This window comes from Homo sapiens, chromosome 3 (genome assembly GCF_000001405.40).
Source record: "Homo sapiens chromosome 3, GRCh38.p14 Primary Assembly".
Lineage (NCBI taxonomy): Eukaryota > Metazoa > Chordata > Mammalia > Primates > Hominidae > Homo > Homo sapiens.
The window spans coordinates 105,273,861-105,297,803 of record NC_000003.12 but is presented as its reverse complement, the minus strand read 5'-3'; the positions used below and the strand labels follow the sequence as shown (position 1 = coordinate 105,297,803).

At 35.8% G+C, this 23,943-nt stretch overlaps 1 annotated feature.

Moving 5' to 3' along the window:
- Positions 668 to 1,297: an enhancer, noted in NCBI's record as "H3K27ac-H3K4me1 hESC enhancer chr3:105015351-105015980 (GRCh37/hg19 assembly coordinates)". NCBI's record gives its function as "activates a minimal SCP1, AML or CMV promoter by ChIP-STARR-seq in naive and primed H9 embryonic stem cells {active_cell/tissue: H9 hESC(naive and primed)}" and the evidence as "EXISTENCE:reporter gene assay evidence [ECO:0000049][PMID:30033119]".

The following is a 23,943-nucleotide window of genomic DNA, read 5'->3' as shown; positions in this document are numbered from 1 at the left end:
CATTTCAACTTTGGTGAATCTGACAATTATGTGTCTTGGAGTTGCTCTTCTCAAGGAGTATCTTTCTGGCGTTCTCTGTATTTCCTGAATCTGAATGTTGGCCTGCCTTGCTAGATTGGGGAAGTTCTCCTGGATAATATCCTGCAGAGTGTTTTCCAACTTGGTTCCATTCTCCCCGTCACTTTCAGGTACACCAATCAGACAAAGATTTGGTCTTTTCACATAGTCCCATATTTCTTGGAGGCTTTGCTCATTTCTTTTTATTCTGTTTTCTCTAAACTTCCCTTATCGCTTCATTTCATTCGTTTCATCTTCCATTGCTGATACCCTTTCTTCCAGTTGATCACATCGGCTCCTGAGGCTTCTGCATTCTTCACGTAGTTCTCGAGCCTTGGTTTTCAGCTCCATCAGCTCCTTTAAGCACTTCTCTGTATTGGTTATTCTAGTTATACATTCTTCTAAATTTTTTTCAAAGTTTTCAACTTCTTTGCCTTTGGTTTGAATGTCCTCCCATAGCTCGGAGTAATTTAATTGTCTGAAGCCTTCTTCTCTCAGCTCGTCAAAGTCATTCTCCATCCAGCTTTGTTCTGTTGCTGGTGAGGAACTGAGTTCCTTTGGAGGAGGAGAGGCACTCTGCTTTTTAGAGTTTCCAGTTTTTCTGCTCTGTTTTTTCCCCATCTTTGTGGTTTTTTCTACTTTTGGTCTTTGATGATGGTGATATACAGCTGGGTTTTTGGTGTGGATGTCCTTTCTGTTTGTTAGTTTTCCTTCTAACAGACACAACCCTCAGCTGCAGGTCTGTTGGAGTACCTGGCCGTGTGAGGTGTCAGTCTGCCCCTGCTGGGGGGTGCCTCCCAGTTAGGCTGCTCAGGGGTCAGGGGTCAGGGACCCACTTGAGGAGGCAGTCTGCCCGTTCTCAGATCTCCAGCTGCGTGCTGGGAGAATGGCTGCTCTCTTCAAAGCTGTCAGACAGGGACATTTAAGTCTGCAGAGGTTACTGTTGTCTTTTTGTTTGTCTGTGCTCTGCCCCCAGAGGTGGAGCCTACAGAGGCAGGCAGGCCTCCTTGAGCTGTGGTGGGCTCCACCCAGTTGGAGCTTCCAGGCTGCTTTGTTTACCTAAGCAAGCCTGGGCAATGGCGGGCGCCCCTCCCCCAGCCTGGCTGCCGCCTTGCAGTTTGATCTCAGATTGCTGTGCTAGCAATCAGCGAGACTCGGTGGGCGTAGGTCCCTCCGAGCCAGGTGCGGGATATAATCTGATGCGCCGTTTTTTAAGCCCGTCGGAAAAGCGCAGTATTTGGGTGGGAGGGACCCGATTTTCCAGGTGCCGTCTGTCACCCCTTTCTTTGACTAGGAAAGGGAACTCCCTGACCCCTTGCACTTCCTGAGTGAGGCAATGCCTCGCCCTGCTTTGGCTCGTGCACGGTGCGCGCACCCACTGACCTGCGCCCGCTGTCTGGCACTCCCTAGTGAGATGAACCCGGTACCTCAGATGGAAATGCAGAAATCACCCGTCTTCTGCGTGGCTCACGCTGGGTGCTGTATACCGGAGCTGTTCCTATTCGGCCATCTTGGCTTCTCCCATTAGAGGAATTCTTTACCTCTGATATCATGATACCTAGAATTTTCAAGTGGCTTTGTTTATAGTTCCTATGTCTCTATGGAAATTACCTCTCTGTTCATACATGTTGTCCTCCCCCAACTAGATGTTTTAAAGTGTCCTTTGCAGTTATTTTAACACTTCTGTTTGATAGTTCCAATGTTTGCATAGTTTCTTGGTTTGGTTCTGTTGTTTTTTTGTAGGAATGAGTAATTTTTCTTTCTTTTTTTTTTTTTGGTGTGTGTTTCACAGTTATTGACTGTATGTCACCTTTTTTGTAAAAAAAAAAAAAAAAAGGATAAAAGATATAACAAAGGATATAGCATTTGCCTGGAAATCAGCATACCTTTGCAAGTGGCAGATTGTTGTTGCTTTTTTTTAACTTTTAAGTTCAGGCATCTATGTGTAGAATGTGCAGGTTTATTACATAGGTAACCGTGTATCATGGGGGTTTGTTGTACAGATTATTTCATCACACATATATTAAGCCTAGTATCCATTAGTCATTTTTTCTGAGCCTCTTTCTCCTCCTACCCTCTGCCCTCTGGTGGGCCCCAGTGTGGATTTTTCCCCTTCATGTGTCCATGTGTTCTCATTGTTCAGCTCCCACTTAGAAATGAGAACATGTAGTATTTGGTTTTCTGTTCCTGTGTTAGTTTGCTAAGGATAATGGCCTACAACTCCATTCATGTCCCTGCAAAGGACATGACCTTGTCCCTTTTTATGGCTGCACAGTATTCCATGGCGTATATGTACCACATTTTCTCTATCCCGTCTGTCATTGATTGGCATTTAGGTTGATTCCATGTCTTTACTATTGTGAATAGTGCTGTTGTTGCTTCTTAATCATTTGTTCTGAGGCCCATGGTAGTGATGCAAAAGTTTCTCAGTCAAGTCTTGGTCTTAGGCTGTCACTGTATTCTTGGACTTAAGGGTTAACACATTGTCAACATTTTTGCACATTCTCTCTCCTCTTCAACCCCTATAGCAGCTGAACTCTGTTTTGCATCATGGAAGGCCTTGCACAGGAACAAATTTTCTACCCCTTTCCTAACATTAGTGGCACTCTGCTTTGTATCTATGCGGAATCCTTGACCCAAGCAGTTTCCTATCCTTCTGCAGTAGTAGAGGCTTTTCCTTCTATTCCTCCTTCACAGGAAGCATACCTTCGGGTGGGACCAGTAGCAGATCTTTCAGCTCTTTCCTCAGTTGCAATTGGCTCTTGCTTATACTCCTCCCTCAAAAGCAGCAAATATTTCCCTTGTTCCCAGGAGTTGAAAGGATTTCCTGTCTTTCCAGCAGCAGTCTATGCTTTTGCTTTTTTTGAGAGAAGAGACTGGAAAGCAGGTGAGATTTTGTGCCTGTGTGCCACTGAGAAAGCCTTTCTCTGGCCTTTGGCTCTGTCCCTAACCTTTCTTACGAACGTCCTGTGGATTCTGGAAAAGAGCTGGTGAGTAGGTGCAAACTTCTGAGGCTTATAGGCATTGTAAACTTTCATGCTAACCATGCTTCACTCTTATATAATCATTATAATTTCAGCAGTTTTTTCTTACCCATTTTTCATGGTTACTACCTCTTCTTTCCACATTCTGTGAAAAGAAAACTTCCTATGTTATATCACTGCTTACAGGGATTCGCCAACCTTGAAATTTGATTCATGTAGTTGGCTTGCAATCTCAACTCTCTGATGGGCTCAAGAATAGTTTTGATGATAGAGAGAATCCTGCTCTTTTTTCTTATTAGAGGAGCAACATTGTTCTTTTGTAGCTTTCCATGCCCCAGGCATAGTGAAATTTACCATGTTCTGTTCTTGAAATAAGTTTTCAGTATAAATTATATCTCATTTTGTATGCTGTGCTCTATAAAATTTTAGTTATATCATTATTTGACAAATTTCATCATGCCTTGAATAATTGATATGTATAAATAATATTCATAGGATAACTTTTTTTGAAATAACTTTAAACTTTATCATTTGTGCAAATGTGTGTTTTTAAATATGTTGTTTTCCTTCAAAGTGAAGAACATTCTCCCAAGAATTCCCATTCATTGTCAATTCAATAGTTATTGAGCAGTATGTGCCAGGGATTATGCTAGGAACTTTTATAGTATATGTATTTTATATAAACATCAGCTTCTGAATGAAATTTTGTTTTGGATGATATATTTTGACTGTTTGTGTTTGTTAGGAGAAAAGAAGCACATGAATGGCCAGAGATGCATTTAACTGTGAATAATGAGAAACTGCATTCTAGGATCCTATCATGTGTCTCTAAAAATCCTTTTTTTAATTCGAAAGAAGATCAGTTTATTTTGTAATGCTTCTTAAGAGTAAGGAGTGAATAATTTGAAAGCTGATAATTAATAAAGTTTGAACTACCTGGATTTTAATAACTTCTAGCAGAGCTGTTCCATTTATTAATGTGAGTACTTGATATCTGATTTTATTGTTATTTTTAATGAAAAAATGTTTTTTGCCCCACAAGTTCCTGTGTTAACTGTTATGACAGGTTACACAAATAATGACTCAGATTTTATCTTCAATAAGCCTGCTTTCTGGGAATGACTATAAAATAGATACATTAAAAATTTAAAAAAGGAAGTTTTATAACAATAGTACTGTTAAGTAGTTATATAGATTCAGAGAAAGCAAAGATAACTGGAAAGAAAAAAAGTTTTGTGGAGGTGGTGGCACTTGAGCTCCACTTGAAAGCTGGACAGGATTTGGAATATGTAAGAATGGGTGAGACAGGAGAGGTGCGAGATGTTTAAAAAGACGAAAGTGCTTGGCCTATTAGCAAGGCAAGCTGTAAGGCAATTTTAATAACCTAAGCTGGAAAACTGTGTTGTACTTAAATAATGGAGAATTTTGTATGTTAGGCTAAGTTTCTGGAATTAATATCATAGGCTATTGGAGACTTTGGAGCACAGAAATAATATAATCAGGGTTCAGTTTCAGGATGATTAACTTTGGTAGCAATGTGGACTGAAAGGAGGAGAGATTGGAAGTGTTGGGAACAGTCGTTGGCTGTATATACATCACAAGAAAGAGGTGAACAACGTTTGACTATCGTACGGAGAGTGAAGTGAGAGAAACACGTATAAAAATATTTTAGAGATAGAATCTGGCAATTAGTATTTGCTTAATACAAACTAAAAAAATAGTGTTCTGTCAGGTGTTGTGACTAATGCATAATGATCCAGAAGAATCAAGGAACTTATGATATGCTACATCACATATTTGTACATAAAGGTAATACAAAGCAGAATGTGATTAGAAACTTTAAAAGGTTACATAGAACTATAAGGATGCGAGTTGGAGAACACTCATATATCTCATCTTCCTTCAAACTCCCGTTGGAAAAATATATAAATTAAGAAAAATAATAAAGCCCAAATTACTAAAAAAAAGAAAGGAAGCCAGAAGACAGTAGAAATCTTGGAAAATAGAATTTGGAATACAGAACCAGTAGGGAAAACCATTCAGGAAACACAATAACCTGAAGCATTAGAGGTGTGAGCTATTATTTCCAAGGTTGCCCAAGAGGAAAACCTAGTGCTGTCAGCTTTACCATTTATGAGTGAGTCCTGTTAAGGAAATAGACGTACACAACTCTAAATGAAATATGTGCCATCTATCTATTCCCATTAACAGCCCTTGATGCATCAGTATGAACAAACTCTTGGGGAATATTCATAGCATAAATAAGAATATTCAAGTAATTCCTTGGAAGAGGTAGGAGAGAACTTAAAATCATCTGGGAGATTTGAGAATGTATTTCAGTAGTAAAACTAGAAAAGACTGCAATGAGAATGAAGCAGAAAATATAAAGAGGTCTTTGAAATTAAAAATTTGGTTACCAATATTAAAAATACAATTAATGAATAGATGCAATAATAGACTGATTAGGGCTAATGACCAAACTGGTAATCTGGAAGTTAAAACGAAGGAAATCTCTCATAACATAGGTGAAAATGCCAAAGAGCAGGAAAATATGAGAGAAGGGTAATACGCTAATGAGGATGTTCTACAGGGCCAACATCTTGCTTGTAAGTATTCCAAAATCAGGGAAAAAAGGCAATGTAGGGGTAAGCATGGTTTTTATAATTAAAGAAATGTCTCCCATTAATCCTAAAATTTTTAACCATAAAAATATTTCTTGAAAATATAGCCTGGAAACATGAAAAAAAAGTGAATGCAAGATTAACTTGGACTTCAGATTAGGAAACTGACTTCTGATTGTCACTTGGAAAAAGCAAAGAAAAATAAAACAACAGAATTAACTGATCAACAATGGAACAGGAAATAGCGGAGAGTTGTGGAGGGAAAGATGTGCAAGGCAAACAGAAGAAGGAGTTAAAGCAAACAGGGAGTTTAAGTTCTTGGAAGAATAGTGGAAAGTCAGGAGAAGGAGCTGGGGTTATAAAATAGAACCGTAGCTAACATCTCCATTGCTTCTTTTATGGTTTTCCCAAAGTGTTCCCAATTGGCTGATTCTGTGTTGTTACTAAAAAGTCTCACAACGAACCATGAAAATTAAACATATTTTATTTTTAAAATTATATGAGTATTTCATAAAGTTGTCTATGTGGTAAATTATAATCCTTGCCACCCACAGGTAGCCACTGCTATTTTTAGTGTCCTTTTAAAAAAATAAATTGTCTTTACTGATGCCATGTATCCTGCTTTTTACACAATCACATTTTTAATTGTTATGAACCCCCTCAACAAACTTAATATGTAATGTCTGTATGATATTCCATTTCACATATACTACATAATTGGGATAGCTGACTTCTAACTTAAACAACGATTAGTTGGATCAGAAAATGATGAATGTTCATTATCAGAAAAAATCGAGTTGAAAAATTTGTTGTTAACTACTGAGATATTAAAACCATAATTTGCGAATTTTAGGAAAAGTTGAGTGTCTCTGTGTGAGTGATCACTTACAGATAAGAACATTATGTGTTAACCCTGTAAAACTTAGAAAATGATCTTGATAGTTTTAAAAACATTTGACTGCTTTAGGTTAGGTTGCACCAACTCAGTCTCACTATTTTTCTGATCCAAGGTTACGTGCTAGTAGACTTGTCTTTCTGATTTTTGTATCCTCTGCTTTTGGCAGTAAAGCAATTTGATAGAGAAACGTTGGCTTGATTTTGCCCTAACCAACTTCAAATCCCAATTCCCTAATTACCTGAAAACCCATAGTAATTCATTTAACAGGTATTACATTGTTTCCAGTTTCAGAATATAAATAAAATTACTCTGAATATTTGTGTGTGTAAGTCCTTATTAAGCTATTAGTTTACGTCACAAGAAAATATTCATAAAAAAAGGTTTTGTCAAAGTTGTTATACATTTGCTGATCATTTTCTTTAAAAATATATATACCAGATTTTCTTCTAGGGTTTTTATAATTTTGTGTTTTACATTTAAGTAAATCTTGATTTAATTTTTGTATAAGGTGTCAGGAAGGGGTCCAGTTTCAATTTTCTGCATATGGCTGCCTGGTTCTCCCAGCACCACTTATTAAATAGGGAATCCTTTCCCCATTACTTGTTTTTTGTCAGGTTTGTCGAAGATCAGATGGTTGTAGATGTGTGGTCTTATTTTTGAGATCTCTCTTCTGTTCCATTAGTCTGTGTGACTGTTTTTGTATCTGTACCATGCTGCTTTAGTTACTGTAGCCTTGTAGCATAGTTTGAAGTTAGGTAACATGATGCCTCCAGCTTTGTTCTTTTTGCTTAGAATTGTCTTGGCTATACGAGCTCTTTTTTGGTTCCATATAAATTTTAAAGTAGTTTTTTATAATTCTGTGAAGAATATTAATAGTAGTTTAACGGGAATAGCCCAGGAATACCATTTGACCCAGCAATCTCATTACTGGGCATATAGTCAAAGGAACACACATCATTCTATTATAAAGATACATGCATATGTACGTTTATTACAGCAATATTCACAAAAGCAAAGACATGGAATCAACCCAGATGCCCATCAATGATAGAAAGGATAAAGCAAATGTGGTACATATACACCATGGAATACTATGCAGCCATAAGAAGGAACAAGATTGTGTCCTTTGCAGGGACATGGAGGGAGTGAGAAGCCATTACACGGTAACATAAAATCAAACACTGCATGTTCGCATTTATCAGTGGGAGCTGAACAATGAGAACACATGGACACAGGGAGGGGAACAACACACACACGGGGGCCTGTCCAGATGGGGAGTGCAGGGGAGGGAGAGCATCAGGATAAATAGCTAATGCATGTGGGGCTTAATACCTAGGTGATAGGTTGATAGGTGCAGCAAACCACCATGGCACATGTTTACCTGTGTAACAAATCTGCATGTCCTGCACATGTATCCCAGAACTTAAAATAATAGAAAAAAAAATATATATATATATACATATATACCAGCAGTGTTTTAGGGTTAATTTGATTTCAAATGCATCACATTTTAAATATCTTTGTTAATTTAATTGGAGAATTTGTTATTGCCTTAATTTTCATTTCTTTGACTACAAATTCATGTGAATTTTTTCATATAATGGATTTTCTTTATTAATGAATAGTACATTTGGATTCATTTTTCTAGTAATCAATTTGTATCCTGATTTTTTTCTTCAGAAACTCATATAAGCTTTTCATTCATCAAGGGTATTAAACACAGTTAACACATCTGCTGCAAACTTTCATATTTGTTCTTCATTTAACTGTTATTCTTTTTAAATATAAATAGACTTTTCAATGTTGTCAAATCTAGTGGTAATTTCATGTAATTTGATATTATTTTTAAAATTAGAAAGTTTTATTCTCTTTTATAGCTTACATGAATATGTATTTTTTTCTAAAAATTTGAACTTTATTTATTTGTTTTCCCATAATTTACCAGCCACCTGGCATTTATTTTGATTAGGTATAAATTGAAGCTCTAAAATGCATTTTTCCAAGTAACTAACAAATAGCTCTAGGACCACATTTAAATACTTTTATATGAATTTGTTTCAAATTATTATTAGTAATGATAATGTCTACAAATAGATACTTATATTTAAAAAATTAAAAAGAATTAATGTTGGAAATGAAGTCTTCCACCTATTCATGTTCTCCAATTTTTCACCTTTCTTTTGCACCACAACCATTCTTACCATTTTTATTTGCATGTTTTTATTTAATTGTATGCAAATTTATTCAGTACATATATGTTATTTGAAAATTGAAGTTGATAGCATACTACACAAGCTGTTATGGACCTCAATTTGTTTTCCACTTAAAAATGTACATCTTGGTAATAATTCCATATCCATTTCATCTGAACTGTCTAATTTATTATAATAGCTTCATAATATCCCAACTTACTTATCCAGTCCTTTATTGACAAACATATATTCTATTTAGATTCCTTTATCATTTCAAATAAGTCTTTAATTATAAACCTAAATATATCACTTTGTTCACATGCAATTATAGCTGAAGGAATACTTTTTAAAAGTTGAAATGCTGAGTAAAATGTTGTATGGATTGTAATTTTGACTGATATTTTCAAATTGCCCTCTGTAAGGGAATACTGGTTTACTTTCCCCTGTTACTGTTTATTCCCTGAGTAACAACATTTTTGATCTTCATCTGTCTAAACAAAATAAATATCTTGTTTTATTTTGCATTTATTTTACTATGAATGAGATTTTAACATCTTTACATATGTTTAAAACCACTTTTATTTTTTGTGGGAAGTTTTTTTCTATATTTTTCAAGAATTACCCTTTTCTTCTTTTAATTTTACTTAAGCTAAGTTTTGTCAAGCATATTTTTTGTTTATTATTGTAGCTTATTATATCATTTTTTTTCTTTACTCGTTTCTGGTTTCATTGTTATACATTAGAATGTCATTTTCAATCAATAATAGAATTTTTCCAGTTTTTTGTTATATATAATTAACTTTTTAATTAAGATTTAAACTTTGATCATATGGATATATATTTTGTGTATAAGGTATGATAGATTATAACTTAATTTTTTTTACACATTTAACCAAGCACTCCTTAATGATCAAGTTATCTGTTTTCCACTTATATGGGATGCCAGCTTCATTTAACATATAGTAAATTGTGTCTTATAATGAACTATATTGTTTTCCATTGTTCTGTCTACTTAAGCATCAACACTACATTATTAGATAAGTATAGCTTCATAATAGATTTAATATGTGATAGAATTTACTGATTTGTCCTTCATCAAATGTTCAATTCTCATATAAAACAGGGTCTGTTTACAGGCTTTAATTTTATACATAGATTTGTCTCTTTTTGTGCAAGTTTTATCCTGATTTAATTTTAGTAGCTTCAGATTTTTTTTGCAAAATTTTCTTAGTGAAATTTCCCATTGTTATTACTGTTTAGTAATTTTTTCTTATTTCCTACTGCTTATATTACTAAATGCACTCAAATGTTAGCTTTTCTAATTGAAGACAATTTTAATAAAATCTTAGTAGTAATTTGGCTAATAACAAGGAATTTATCTGAGAAAATTTGGCATCTTTTTATATTTGTACTATCTTATAAGAGAAATATGTCCAGACCGTGAGGCTAAAACTTTGCCAAATCAATCTGAATATATCAGGAAACGCTTGCAAGCCCTTGGTGCCATAGAGATCCAAGGAAATAGAGGTTGTGAGTGCCTATAACAGCCACTCCTGAGGCTCCTTCTTGACGATTGACTTTGATTTCCCAAATGAATTCTTCTATATCCTGCAAGAACACATTCAACATTCAATATTTTTCCTATATGTGATTTATAAAAGTAAGACAGGTTTTTTTGAATTTTTTGGATTGCTGTTTGCTTCTTTTATTTGCTAAAAAATTACAATTTGGTTTTTGATCTATTCTCAATGATTATTTCTCACCTAGTGGAAGAAAATAGAGCCAAGCAATTAATAACAGGAGAAACCTCAGAGCCTGCTCTATCATAATTCTCTTTTTATTAGTCTTCATAGGTCTTGAAGGAAATTATTAAGGGGAAGCAAATATCAGTATCTTTTTCTATATACAAACCACCTCAAATCTTAGTGACTCAAACCAACAACCATATATTTAGCTCACAATTTTGTAGCATGGCTATTATTGTCTGGGTTCCGCTGTGCAGTTCTTCTGCTGACCTTACTAGATTCACTCATGTAACTGTAGTCAGCTGCCAGTCAAATAGGCAATTCTTCTTCTGGGCTTGGCAGACTGTGGATTAGGGTAACAGTGGGTCACATGTGCCTTATCATTCTGCAGGCTAGCCTGAGCTTTTTTCATATGATGCCAGTAGCAGAAGTCCCTAGAACATCAAGAGAAGACGCTGCTAGGTTTCTTAAAGCCTTGGTTTGTATTTTCCTAGTGCCAATTTCAGTGCATTCTGTGGATCAAAACAAATGACATGGCCTGTCCAGATTCAAGAAACAAGGATACAGACTTCATCCCTTTATGGCAGTGGCTACAAGTATTGTGGCTACATTTGCAAACTGCCACAAGCAAACACAGGCCTAACCCATAGGCAAGTAAACTGAGCATAGGTCCTAGAAGATTAAAGGGTCTATGCTTTCTGTCTACTAGCAATGACATTATATCCTATGGGTGTATAATTTCACCCAATGACTCTGCCTGAGGAAAGCATTTTGTAGATCTATGGTTGAGCCAAAATTCTGCATTTCTAACAAACTTTGAGGTGATGGTGATGCTGTTGGTCTGCAGAGCACACTTTCTGTAGCAAGCCACTGGAGTATTGCTACTCAAGGTCTGGTTGGTAGACGGGCAGCGTCAGTATTACTTGTAGGAAATGCAGCTTCTTGATTCTCTTCTCTAACCTAATGTCTCAAAATTTTTGAGAAAGGCTCCCAAATCTGTATTTTAACAAACTTTCCTTAGGATTTTGATGTACACTGAGGTTTGGTAAGCGCTGCACTAGAGAGTATTGGGTAGAAAATGAAGGAGTGTGATTGAGGAGGAAGAGAATCCTAAGAAATCTAAATCGCTGGACCTATGTAGTTCATGCAAGATTTGTTCTACCAAACATGAATTCAGACCTTTTGAAGAACACATATAACTACAAAGAATATTTCCAAACACCAAAAGGTAGACATAAATGTAATGCTTGCCTGGGAAGAAAAGGATGAGTAATGATGGTTGGCCAATACCTGGAAAATAATTACCTGTTTCTTTATATTTTGGCAGCAGTCTAGAATTGACCATCCCTGCATTATATTTTTTATTAATGTCCTCATAGTGAACATTGAAGGAAAGCCTCTTTTGTGTATGACTGTGAGTGTAATCAATCAAAGCTCAGGCATGTTTTATTACTGTCAGCTATGATTTGTTCTTTTCATTTTCTTGTCATAGAATTCTGATAAATTCATTCAAAGTGGCCCAGAGCAGGTCAAATAATACAGCAGTGCCATCATAGCTTAAATATTGTCCAATATGCCAGTCTCCAGCACAATGTCTGGCACATAGAAGATATTCATAGTGAACTTGAGAAATTATATAAAATTTATAGAAATCTATGATATGCACAATTGAAATTTAATCCAAAAATTAAACTATTTGTTGAGGAGTTTAAGTATTCAGTTGAAACCAAGTTGCTTCATTGTAGTGTAAGTGTGAAGCAGTATGATGGAAAAACAAGGAAATATTTCAATTATAGTCCAGATTTTTCCTTATACTTTGATATTTGTCTATGCATAGCTCTTCAGCTGATTAAGATATGACATCTTCAAACTATTTAAAATTCTTTTTTTAATTAAACCACTGGGCCACATGAAATATACACACTCTATTTGTAGTTATCTGTAGTTCTTTTCAGAGTTTACAAAAATAATGGTCTTTGATTTATCTCATGTAATTTGTATCCTATTCACCAACATTGATTTGATATTCAAATCTTGGTAAACTATTGAAGACTCTACTCACACTTAAAACAACAGTGAAGAACACCGGATATAATTTCTTATTGGCTGTGTGATCTTAGGCAACTCAGTTACCCTCTCTAAGCTTCTTGATATTGCCTGTTATTTGATGAAGATGCCTGCAAGATATTCATGACTAATCTGAATACCATACAAAAATTGTCCTTTTTATGAGTAATCGATTTGTTTTTATCCCATGGTTATGGTGAGTAACCAATTTAGAGAGCTAGGTAGAGAGAGAGAGAAAGAGAGAGAGAGAGAGAGAGAGAGAGACAGAAAATGTAGCTATGTTACCAACCTAATAACAGCATTGACTCTCATTTTTCTCATCTTTAAATGTAGAAGATTTATTTAAATATAAGCTCCTTTCTGATAAATTAACAAGCTGTTGTTTCCAAATTTTATAATTTGATGCAAATTTAGAAAGTCGAGTGTGCAGGATTTTTCTCTCTGTATCTGTGTTGGCTATTATTTGGCTAATTCAAAATATCCAGGGATTAGTTTTTTAGTTATTATATTAGGCATTGTCTAGCCATTTCCTCAACTGCTCTCCATTTTCTTTCATGCCCTTGGAATGAAAAGGCTAAGTGTGCATATCATCAACAATTGTTTTCTGAAGTGTTCAGCCAATGCTGATGCTTATTCAAAATTATATCTTTGTGACTTTGTCTCAACTATTTTGTATGCTTCTTACATTCTATTTTTGAAATGACTGAGAGACTAAAGGAAGTATTTATGAAGTAATGATATTTTAAATTTCCTAAATAGTTTCAGTATTTTGTTGCTTATTTGTTGCTTATAATTTTTAAAATTTGGTTTTTCAAAAGAGATAAGGAGAAACACTAATAATTTTTCTCCCCAGAAATAATACATAATATCCACCCCCTCTGGAGTATCTTTCTAATCTTATTGACTTCAGTCATATTAACTTTCAGTCTCCACAAACCAAAAAATTCTAATAGAAAATCTTTACAAGTTTTCATATTAGTACATGGTAGAATATAAGGACGACTAGAAAAATAGCAGATTAAAGAATCCATTCTATAAAAATTATAAAAATAAACCAAACAGGGCATCTTAATTCTAGGAACCTTATTTCCATACAATAGATCTGGAATATATATATTTGTAACTCACATGCATTTATCTCAAAAAATTTTCTGAAGTATTCATTGGTTTTTCTTTTTTATTAAAAAGCCAGGATAGAAAAAAGTTGAGAAAATCCACATCTAATAGTAAGAGATAACTAGATCTGATTTCCTTGGAGTGCCATGTTTCTTCTACATTAAAGCATAGTATCAGTAAGACCAAATCTTTTTCCATCATCAAATGAAGGGAAAGGACTGCCAAATCTTAATTCTGAAATTCCTACCTTTTTCTTTTTGGTCAGGTTTTCTCTCATTAAAAGCTGCTGTTGGTGGCCTTTTAGGTACATTTTGCTAGAAGGAAAATATTGCAAGCGAAGGTGGAGAGAAAGGAATAGAAGTTAGGACCAGACATTTTGCCATGGATCATCCTGCATATTATACATGCCCGAGTCTGCTCTAAACAAGATACTGAAAATTAGCAAGGGGTAATTCACAAGAAAGTGAAAATGAGCACGGGGTAAATTTTACATCTTCACTTTGGTAACTCACAACTTATAATGCTTACAAATTCAACATGACATAAACTTGAGGAGTTAGATGTATGACTTCTGGGTATATTTTCTTTAAGTAGGGTTCAGTGCTGATAACATACTATTATTGCAAAAATCATTACTTTAAAATAAAATTTATGAATATATCTGGTTCCATGCATTGTCCACTGTTGACACTTTTTAGAAGAACTCATATAGAGGGATTCCCATTCACCGTATCTTAATTAATGTAAGCTGTCGAAGTTTCAGCTTCTGCTAGATTCTATTTGATTTAAAAAAAAATACTAAATAAATTATAAATTCAGTTTTCTATCTCATCAGAAAGAGGAATGTTTATTGTAGCTCTATATTTCTTGAGTTGTCTCAGAAATGCTTGCCATAGGGTCAGTGCTCAATTCATTCTTCTGTAGCACTGGATACACAGAAATTCATGATTTCATGCAGTAAAGGAGACTCCTCAGATTTCTCCTGCTGTTTTAGCTTTGGGTGGGAGGTAATGCAAAGCTGGACACTCACTACAATAAAGGCACTCCTGTGTTCAGAAAGAAAGTATATTATTCCAAATAGCATATTTCAAAGAGAGCCTTTTATTTAGTTTCCTTTGTGTCCTCTGTGCTGACACCATTCTATTAGCAGTTGCAGAGTAGGCAATGGCATGGGAGGTCCCACATGGTGCACGCATCACAGTGTGGATGTTCTACATGGCTGTTTTCTTAGAACATTAAGCTACAGTCCTGGAATTAATTTTCTCTGAAAATTTTTTCTTTATTAGCCTTAAATTCTTAGTGATTTTTTAAACTTCTTCCAGTTATGCATGTTATCAATTTGATTTATTTTAGAACTTTGTTGTTTTAGATTAACATTTGTATTAACTTTTTTCATTTAAAATTGCAGTACGTTTAACTTTGCTTGCTGGCCTTTGAAATCATGGTATCTTGAGAGGGGCAGATAACTCTCTAGATCCTGAAGTAGTGATAATACCACCTATGTCCACTTTTTATCTTTTGCAGAGGTAGCCAGACTCTAGAATATTGAGGCAGGAATGGACTAGGTTCATATAACTACAGCAGCTTCAGGTGGATTTAGGGGATTACAGGATCATAGTTTAAATATGAGGACAAGCCTTCTTAGAATATAACATCACTGCCTGGAATGATACATTTGTTAGAAATAGATGGCATTTTCAAAAGAGTGATTGAAGAGAGTTTAATAAATAAATCATTTACGTGTGTGGACAAAATTAATGGAAACTAACATGGATGGTGAAACACCCTGGGACTAATAACCCAGGAAAATACTATCACCCTTGAGCTTGAAGGAAGAGAGAAAGGAGTCCTTATCAGAACCAAGGGAGGGGGCTGCTTGACAACAGCTGTGGTCTCTGATAAAGGAAATAGTCTCTACTGATGTCTCTCTTCCTGCTCTTTGATCTTCTATTGCCTTCCATCAACTAAACCTAACCAAAAGCTACAAAGCAAGGAAGATTGTAACAGCAAGAAGGTGAGGAAGTGTAGAGGGTGGTTCTGGTAGGACAGAGTATCCACCACAGAATACCTCTTTTGTCCTTCAGCATCCATTCTTGATGCTTTTTCTGAATGACAATTCTGTGTCCCTTACACAGGAAACAGAAATTCTAATCAGTGACTATATCATTACACAGTAATGTCAATTCAGTCATACTTCCCCCAGAAACATAACACATTAACCATCGCGAGTGTGCTTCATAACCCTTACTATCTATCAGCACTGTGACTGAGGATTTTATCATTTTGAGAGACACAACTCCCAGAATAGAACTTATTGGTGGTTCTGTTTTTATTCGATTGTTTCTATTGATCAGGGTTATGGGTAATGGAGAACTAAGGAGTGATCTAGTGAATTCTCAAGTTTTAGAGAGAATTCACTAGAACCCTCCTTGCCCTCATTATGAGGCAGCAAGCCAATTTCCACTTGGTAATTGAGATCAATCACCCATTCAGTAGAATGTTGTCTTTCTCTCCCTCCTGGTTTAATGAGGAGTACAAAATGGCCAGTTTCCAGCCTCAGCTTCCATTTAATACAAACATTAACTGTGCTCCCCTAATGGAACCGTGTCTCCCTTAAGCACAGGACCACCAAGTTCACCAAGTTCCATATTTCAGGGGCCAGAAGCATACATTTCTTAAGTGAATTATTTGGGGTAATAATAAGAAGGGGTCATCTCATCTCCACCTTTTAGGTTCTATATGGGTTAAACATTTAGACTTCATCTTAAAGAAGTATAAACCTAAGAAGCCTCACAGGATGGTTTGTTGGATGTATAACTAATGAACCCTTAAGCAACCATTCTACCTTTGTATTATTATTATTATTTATATAAATTTAAGGAGTTCAAATGCAATTTTTTTGCAGGCATATATTACGTAGCTGTGAAATCTTGGTTTTTAGTATATCCATCATCTGAATAATGTATATTGTAACCATCAAGTAATTTCTTGTCACCCTTTGTCCTTCCTCCCCCACATCCTTCTGAGCCTCCAAAGTTTATCACTCCACACTCCATGTCCATGTGTACACATTATTTAGCTCCAACTTATAAGTGAGAACATATGGTATTTGACTTCTGTTTCTGAGTTGTTTCGCATAAGATAACAGCCTCTAGTTTCATCCATGTTTCTGCTAAAGACATGATTTCATTCATTTTTAATGGGTGGATGGTGTATATATATGTGTGTATATATATACACACACATATGTATATATATGTGTGTGTATATATACACACATATGTATATATATGTGCGTATATATACATACACACATATGTATATATATACACACACATATATACATATGTGTGTATACATATATATATATATATATGCCTCATTTTCTTTATCCAATCATCTGTCAATTAACAATTAGGTTGATTCCATGTCTATGCTATTACGAATCTGACTAGGTGCGGTGACTTACGCCTGTAATCCCAGCACTCTGGGAGGCCAAGGTGGGAGGATCACTTGAGCCTAGAGGTTTGAGACCAGCCTGGGAAACATAGTAAGACCCAACCTCTACAAAAATAAAAATAATTAACTGGGCATGGTCGCCTGTGCTTGTAGTCCCAGCTACATGGAGGCTGAGGCAGGAGGATCGTATGAGCCCAAAAGTTGAAGCCGCAGTAAGCCATGATAGTGCCATTGCACTCCAGTCTGGGCAACACAGGGAGATCCTGTCAAAAGAAAGAGAGAAAAGGAGACAGAAAAAAAGAGAGAGAGAGAGAGAAAGAAAAAGAAAGAAAGAAAGAAGAAAAAAAGAAAGAAAAAGAAAGAAGAAAAAAGAAAGAAAGAAAAAGAAAGAGGGAGAGAAAGAAAGAGAGAAAGAGAGAAAGAAACATATGAGTGCAGCTGTCTGTTTGATATAACTATCTATTTTCTTTTGGGTAGATATAGATATCTTAATGGGGTAAAAACCTCAGAAGACTCCAAGGATGGTTTCTCACATGTACAATTAATGAGCCTTCAAATGACTATTCCACTATTATTTTAAGCCAGTTGTTTATTATTGTTAAGGCACATGGTAATATGAGTGTCCGCCAATTGTCACAACTTTTTCAATGTAAGTTGCTTTCCCAGAGGTGACATTGTAAGGAATGCCACAGCGAAAGAGAAGACATTGTCTAACTCTGCAGATGATGAAGCTGTCCAAGAGAAATAGCCACGCACACATTGCAGAGCATCAACAACCGAGCAGGAGAATAAATACCATGACTTATCTTTTCTCCCACCTTTGCATCTCCTTCTGGCAATACTCAACCAGAAACCAGAAGGCAAAGGAGCCTGTTTGATGCAGTCTATAAAGTCAGTGTCCAGCTTATACGTACAGAGTTGGGTAAAGAAGAGTGAAGAATGAAGCTGAGACGGTAAATAGAAAACTTTCTAAAACCTAAAAGTAGTTCATGAAGTAACCAGAGTCAAATCTAGATGTAGCCACAATGCTGAAAGCCTTTTTAAAACTCTCAAACTCAATACACCACACTGAGTTATTATGGAAGATATTTTTATGTCAGAGAGCTTGACTTCAAATATTTTCTTTCCCATTCATTAGTTGAGTAACCATAGAATAGTTCTTAAACATTCTGATGTTCAATCTTAAAATATTTTCAAAGTGGGTACTATCTACACTCTGAATCAGTGTTCACTGTATAGGGTTGTTTCTCCCATAGCCAGGGTTTATGAGTCCAGGAATCAATGGGTGAAAATGGCAGTGGCACCACTCACCTTTAGGGATACCCTAGCAAGATTTTTGCATCTTATTTCTGAGACTTTATGCTCTGTCGGCCTGAAGGACTTAGTTTCAAAGTGAAGACTGTTTCCACCAGGAGACACAACAATGATTCCTTAAACTGGAAGTTAAGATTGCTACCTGGCCACTTTGGGTTCCTCATGCCTCTGAATCAACAGGCAAAGAAGGGAATTACTGTACTGGCTGATGTAATTGATCCTGCTTATCCAGGGAGAATTGACCGCTACTACACAATGTGAGAAAGAATGAGTATGTAGAATACAGAAGATCTCTTAGCACTTCTCTTAATAGTATCATTCCCTATGATTAAATCTAGTGAAAACTACAACAACGAAATTCAGGCAGAGTTATTAATGGTGAAAAGCACCAGAAATAAATGTTTAGTTTACCAGTTTACCCCACCAGGCAAAGAACCATGACTAGTAGAGGTGCTGGCTGAGGACAAAGGGGAAATGAAATTGACAGTAGAAAGTAATTATAAATAACACTACAACCATATGACCAATTGCAGAAATGGAGACTATAATTTTTATGAGTATTTTGTTTTGTTATAAATATGTATATGTGTGTTGTTAAGCAAACATATTTGTTTTCTTTCTTCTCTTATCCCCTTATCACATAACATAAGATACATTAACTTTACATCCTAGTTTTTAGGTATTTTTAAGTTTACACCGTAGTATTTAAATTACAGGGTATCAAGGGAAGAATGAATGACGCCGAAGGACTTTGTATCCTCTTCTGAGGGTTAGTTTGTTAGCTTTTTGTTTTTTTAGACAGTGTCTCGCTCTGTTGCTCAGGCTGGAGTGCAGTGGCACGATCATGGCTCACTGCAGCCTCAATCTCCTGGGCTCAGGTGATTCTCCCCCTGCCTCCCAAGTAGCTGGGACTACAGGCATGTACTACCATGCCCAGCTATTTTTTTGTGTGTTTTTTTGGTAGAGATGGGGTTTTGCCTTGTTATCCAGTCTGGTCTCGAACACCTGGGCTCAAGCAATCCACTTGCCTCAGCCTCTCAAAGTACTGGTATTATAGGCGTGAGCCACTGTGCCCTGCCTAGCATGTTTTCATTTGTACACAGGACAGTTCTATCATGTTAATTGAAAGTATGACTTCACTATTGTCTTTATTTAGAGATTAAGTATGGCTTAAGTACATGTGTATGGGTGCCAAGCTAACAAGGGGTAAGCTGTGATGGTTAAATTTTATGTGTCAACTTGGCTAGGCTATGTTGCTCAGTGTTTTGGTCAAACAGTAGTTTAGATGTTGCTGTGAAGGTATTTTGTAAATGTGATTAACATATGTAATCAGTGATTTTAACTGAAGAGATTACCTTTGATAATGTGGGTGAACATCATTCAATGAATCAAAAGTGTTAAGAAAAAACTTGGTTTCCAAGGAGGACTTTACTTCCAAGAAGAAAGTCTGACTCATGGCTACAACATAGAAAGGCTGCCTGTGTCTCCAACCTACTGGTCTGCCCTAAAGATTTTAAATTTATGACTGTAACATCAGCTCCTGTGTGAGTTGCTAGCCTGCCAGCTGCTCTGTAGATTTCAAACTCGAGACTACAACATTATTCTCGCCTGAGTTTACAGCCTGTTGTCCTGCCTATGGATTTGGGAGTTGTCAACTCCCACAATCACATGAGCCAGTTCCGTAAAATCTACATCTATCTATCTATCATCTGTCTATCTATCTATCTATCATCTGTCTATGTATGTATGTATGTATGTATGTATGTATGTATGTATCTATCTATCTATCTATCTATCTATCTATCTATCATCTATCAGTTATCCGTCTTATCATCCTATTTGTTGTGATTCTCTGGAGAACTCTGATACATGTACTAAAAGTTCCTTTATCCTAGAGATGTTGTGCACATTAAATGAAAATAACATATGTAAGTGTGATGCAAATTGTGTATTTTAGTGCACACAACAAATAATTTAACTCAAATTGGCATACGCAATAAATGTATGTTTATGTTGTAGATTATCATTTTAAAAGATGGGTCTGCCAATACATACTCCACAATTGGTGTGCTGCACCCATTAACTCGTCATTTAACATTAGGTGTATCTCACAATGCCCTTCTTGTAATGTGATATTGACCACTTCCATGGAAATATGGAAGTTTATATTTCCTTTCCCTAAAAAGTGGATACACTTCTCCAAGTAAGAGATGCAACAGAATGAAGCAGAGGAAATCTTACTTGAATTTTGATTAGGTCATAATAGGCAACATAGCTTTCTCTCTCTCTCTCTCTCTCTCTCTCTCTCTCTTTCCCTCCCCCCTCTTTCTCTCCCTCTCTCCCTTGCCTCCCTCCTCTCTCTCTGCATGCTTTCTTTTGGAACCTAGCTACCATGGTGAGACAAAGCCTATTCCACATGGAGAAGCCATGTGTAGGTGTTTCAGCCAGTGATCCCAGCTAGTTCCCCAACTGTCAGCCAGCATCATTGTCCAAATGCACATGTGAATAAACTTCAAATGACTCCAGCTCACAGATATCAAGCTTTGAGTGTTTCAGCTGAGGCCCTCTAATTATGAATCAGATAAGTTATCCCATGGTGTGCAGTCTGAATTTGGACTTATTGAAAACATAAGAGATAATAAATGCTTATTATTATTTTAATAAGTTTTAGGACAATTTGTTATTCAGCAATACATAATGAATACAATTTGCTTTACTGAAAAAAATCAAAAGGTAATATCAAAGATTGGCTATATTTCTCAGCAATTATTTTTCTAAATTCTGGCATCCTTTGTGTCTTGGCTTTATTCACTCATAGAAGAAAATAGCTACATTTGTTCCACTGTTTCACATCTGTATAATATATAGTTCAGAGCAAAGAGGTCACTTTTGTTCAAACATTCCCAGGAGAGAGCCTGACATTAAATATCATCTTGAATCCCATGGACACCCCTCAAATAATCTTGGTATTCAGGAATTTGTAATGTAATTATTGTCATATCTTGATATATTTAGCTCCTCCTCAGAATTGCAAAAATTTTCAAACCTATATCAAGAATTCTCAGGAAAAAAAGAATGGATACTGCGGAAGCTACTACGGATTTGCACCATAAGCATTTGGCATAATATTTCATATATGGAGTTTCTTTTACATGATGGTGATTTTTATTACTTTCTTCTTGAGTTTCTCAAGTATTGGGTCAAGTATTTTCTTATGTATTACCTTGGTATTCATCAGTTACCAAATCTTTTTATTGCTATCTCATTCAAAAGATAAAAACAATGCCATTATCCTCCAATCTTTGCACCTTTAATTTTAAGGCTATTTTTATAAAGCCTAGTAAATGTGCCTATCTCTAACTGAATTAGTTACAACATTCATAGGCTATGTTTAAAATTAAGCCATTCTATACATTCTTTCTGGGAATTGTCTTCAGAATACTTAGCAATGTTGTGTGGCAGCATATGTTTAATGTTGTAAAAGCAGAATTATTTTAGCAAAGATCTGGAACAGTTCTTTAAATTTACAAAAGGTACACCTTACATTGGTCCTAGAATAGCATCTAATAAGTTTAGAAGGAAGATAAGTTGGGGTAAATAACATAAATGCTGTAAGATATGTGGAGTTAGTAGTAAGACTATTTCACAAATTGTGTTCTGAAGAACTTTAGTTTCATGGGAAAAATATTTAGAGGTTAAATATGTTTGGAAATTGCAATGCACTGTATTCCACTTCTAGAAATTTAGAATCCAGATTAACATATTAAAGGCTTCAGAAGTTCTATAGTAAAGGAATTGTTTAATTTTACTAGCCTAGCTTTTCCCAAACAGGTTTGGGAAGAAAAAATGGATCACTTCTGTTTAAGAGATAGTCATCATTAAAGATGGAAATAACATTGTGATGTGTACTAGGGAGTCATATGATAAAATATGATTTATTACTAAAAAAATGAGCCTCAAAGCAAGAAGTTGGTAGTTGAAACCTTAGAGTAGTGAAAGAGGTGAAGGAATGTAGGCAATGTGAATGTCAACTTAAAATAGCAATCTCTAGTTTCAGCTAAGAAGGATTAAACCCACTCCACCCTATTTCTTCCACTGAAAACAACTAAAATTCCTGGACAGATTACACAAGGCAACTATCTGATGACTCTGAAAAGTAAATAATACCAGACAGATTTACTAGAGAAATCAAAATCTGAAAAATGAGCAATACAGTGGTAAGTTTCCTGGATTTGTTTTGTTTTCTTTTGTTGAGACACAAGTTTTGCCATGTTACTCAGGCTAGTTTGGAACACCTCACCTCAAGTGATCCTCCCCCTGCAGCTTCACAAAGCACTGGGATTATAGACATGAGCCATCACCATGTTTCCTGGTTTGTTTTGTTTTTCTTTCCCATATCTCTGGGTTTAGATTTTAGGTGCCCTAAACCATGGAATTTCACTTTGTGCACTGACAAAGAAAGCTCCAAGAAAAATCCTCTTTCATAGCAGAGGACTGGGAAATGGGCTTCTCTGAGATAGAAAATGTACATGTAGGAAAAATTACCATAATTCTTCTTTCCCTTTTTACTCCTCTAGCTCTGACTGGAGGCAAGCCCCATTTATGAAGGTGCATTCCTGTGTTGGCAGGGTGACAGCAGCAGTTGCATAGGTGCTTAAAATTCTGAGAGAAAATTCTCTCTCACCAGATGAATTTGGAAAAGAAATATACATGTTCTGAAGAGTGTCAAGGGAATACCATTATTTTTATTCTCTTTTTTACTCACTACTTTGTCCAGAGGATGATTCAGACATAAGAAGTGTGGACAACATAATGAGTCTGTAGCCAGGGTCTAGGAAAAGAGCCCCTGGAAACCAGAGAGTGTGAGGTAAACTATAGAGAAGAGATAACTGAATATTTTAAATTTATGTATGAAGACTTAGGCTAATCCTTGGGCTGCACTGTGCAACTGAAACAAAGAACCATAGAAATGCTTAGATAATTAAATTATGGTGTACACCACTGCCCAGGTCCCAGGCTTGTCCCTAGGTGATACACGTTGGAAGTGGGCTTGCAAAGCAGCTTACAAAAGCTAAGCTGATATTGGAACCACAACTCACAGAAGGCAGTGATTTGGGAATTATAACCTGAATCTAACTAGTTTGATTGCATGCTAACACAAAAAACAAACTAACAATATTCTCTAGAGGCTTTTTATAGTACTTAGAGTCCCACTATATGTAAAATGTTCCAGAATTATTTGACATACAAAGAACCAGAAAAGCCTTAATTCTCTTAAAAGATGATTATCATATGCCAACCCCAAGATGGCCCTAAGTTTGGAATTAGTCACACCATTTTAGTCCATGAAGTAAGACAAACCCTCTTGAAATGAATGGAAAGGTGAACGTTCTCAGCAAAGAGATAAGCACTACAAATAATCATATGACAATTTTAGACTTAAGAAGATGCAAAAAGAAAAGAAATGTTTATTAGAGGCTCTCAGTGTAT